The sequence below is a fragment of the Homo sapiens genome, chromosome 17, assembly GCF_000001405.40.
Source record: "Homo sapiens chromosome 17, GRCh38.p14 Primary Assembly".
Taxonomy (NCBI): Eukaryota; Metazoa; Chordata; class Mammalia; order Primates; family Hominidae; genus Homo; species Homo sapiens.
The window spans coordinates 44,586,531-44,588,996 of record NC_000017.11 but is presented as its reverse complement, the minus strand read 5'-3'; the positions used below and the strand labels follow the sequence as shown (position 1 = coordinate 44,588,996).

The 2,466-nt window shown below is 50.6% G+C and overlaps 1 annotated feature.

Moving 5' to 3' along the window:
* Nucleotides 1,139–1,704: an enhancer, noted in NCBI's record as "H3K27ac hESC enhancer chr17:42664661-42665226 (GRCh37/hg19 assembly coordinates)". NCBI's record gives its function as "activates a minimal SCP1, AML or CMV promoter by ChIP-STARR-seq in naive H9 embryonic stem cells {active_cell/tissue: H9 hESC(naive)}" and the evidence as "EXISTENCE:reporter gene assay evidence [ECO:0000049][PMID:30033119]".

The following is a 2,466-nucleotide window of genomic DNA, read 5'->3' as shown; positions in this document are numbered from 1 at the left end:
TCTCTGTAGCACCGGCATTTTGAAGGATTTGCAATTGTGACCATATTGCTCTGTCAGTCTTCCATTGCTTTAGTCTAAGTTCCTCCACCAGACTGGGGGTTCCCAGAGACCAAACTGTCTCCCCCGCACATTACAGTCAGGTCCTTGCATCCTCCAAGAATGCAAGGAGACCAGAACTGTCTAACGTGCTAGAATTTAGAGGGTAATAATTCAGCAGCCCCTCCCTGTGCCTTCAGAGTGGGACATTCTTATTTGCATTTCAGACTTCTACCGACACCCAAAATATAGGGAATCCAAAGAAGAAAAAGGAGTAAGACGGAAAAGGAAAACTCTTCCCCCTCCCCACCCACCCTTCTTGTATTGTGAAAGATTTGATGGGCTGATATGGTTGATGGGAAACAGGAGAATGCTGGGTGCCGTGGCTGATGCCTGTAATCCCAGTATTTTGGGAGGCCGAGGTGGGAGGATTGCTTGAACCCAGGAGTTCAAGACCAGCCTGGGCAACATGGCGAGACCCCATCTCTACAAAATTGAAAAAATAATTAGCTAGGCATCGTGGCGTGTACCTGTGGTTCTAGCTACTTGAGAGGCTGAGGTGGGAAGATCGCTTGAGCCTAGGAGGTCAAGGCTACAGTGAGCTGTCTTCACACCACTCCACTCCAGCCTGGGCAATAGGGCAAGACCGTGTCTCAAAATATGAATAAAAATAAAGTCTGGGCGCGGCGGCTCACGCCTGTAATCTCAGCACTTTGAGAGGCCGAGGCAGGTGTTCGTGACTAGCCTGAGGTCAGGAGTTTGTGACTAGCCTGGCCAACATTGGCAAAACCCGGTCTCTACTAAAAATACAAAAAATCAGCCAGGCTTGATGGCAGATACCTGTAATCCCAGCTACTTGGGAGGCTGAGGCAGGAGAACTGCTTGAACCCGAGAGGCAAAGGTTGAAGTGAGCCAAGATTGCACCATTGTACTCCAGACAGAGTGAGACTCTGTCTCAATAAATAAATAATATATAATAAAATAAAATAAAAACAGTAGAATGATGGAGAGAAACCTGAGAGGGAAGGAGGAGAGGGGAATGAGGAGAGAGTGATGTGAGTGCCTCAAGGTCGAGGAACAGCCTTCAGCAAAGGAAGAAAATAACCCCAGAGCTTGGGTTTGGGTCCCCACCGTGGGTCAGCAGAGGACAGGGTCCTGGACAGGGTCAGGAGCTCCGATGGCTCCTGCTTCTCTCTTGGAAAGCACAAACGGGGCAAGTTTTTTTCTCCCTGCAGGCTCCCAACACATAACCTTTTAACATGTGGGATTTTCCATGTGGGGTGAAGGGGAGGAAACAGTCCAGCTCTGGAATTAAGAGGCCCCCGCTCTGCCTGCCCAACCTGGAGCTCAGAGGGTTGCATGATCTGAGTGGCCCTCCTGGGAAGGCCAAGCAGAGAGGTTGAGCTTTCCAGACTGCAGAGAGTGAGTCACAGTCTAACAATGTTATCTGTCAAGTGCTGCAGCTCCCTGGCTGGTCATGCCCATGGCCTCTCTCAGCCTGGATTCTCATTGGGTGTCCTCAATCTCACAAATGTGGAGGTCACACTGGTGCCTTTCTGTGCACTCCCCACCGGCCCCAGATCCAGTTATTTTTTTCAGCATAGGCAATCTCATGGGGAACCCAGCTAAAGCGATGGGTCAGAGGTGCAAAATGCTGGAAATATGGGGCAACTTTTAAGCCCAGAACTCTTAGGGAGTTAAGAATCAGGGCTGGGTGCAGTGGCTCACGCCTGTAATCCCAGCACTTTGGGAGGCTGAGGTGGGCGGAACACGAGGTCAAGAGATCGAGACCATCCTGGCTAACATGGTGAAACCCCACCTCTACTAAAAATACAAAAATTAGCTGGGTGTGGTGGCAGGCGCCTGTAGTTCCAGCTACTCAGGAGGCTGAGGCAGGAGAATCGCTTGAACCAGGGAGGTGGAGGTTGCAGTAAGCCGAGATTGGACAACTACACTCCAGCCTGGCGACAGAGTGAGACTCTGTCTCAAAAAAAAAAAAAAAAAAAAAAAAGAATCAGGGCAGGAAGACACCAAAGGAAAAGGAACCAAGGAGGTCTGTGTGGCAAAGAAGGCTGGATTGGTATGGCATTCAACACAAGAGGCTAAAGGCCGGGCACAGTGGCTCACACCTGTAATCTCAGCACTTTGGGAGGCCGAGGTGAGCAGATCACGAGGTCAAGAGATCAAGATCGTCCTGGCCAACGTGATGAAACGCGGTCTCTACTAAAAATACAAAAATTAGCTGGGCATGGTGGTGTGCGTCTGTAGTCCCAGCTACTTGGGAAGTCGAGGCAGGAGAATGGCGTGAACCCGGGAGGCGGAGGTTGCAGTGAGCCGAGATCGCAGCACTGCACTCCAGCCTGGCGACAGAGCGAGACTTCGTCTCAAATATATATATATAATTTGTGGCCAGGCAGGGTGGCTCATGCC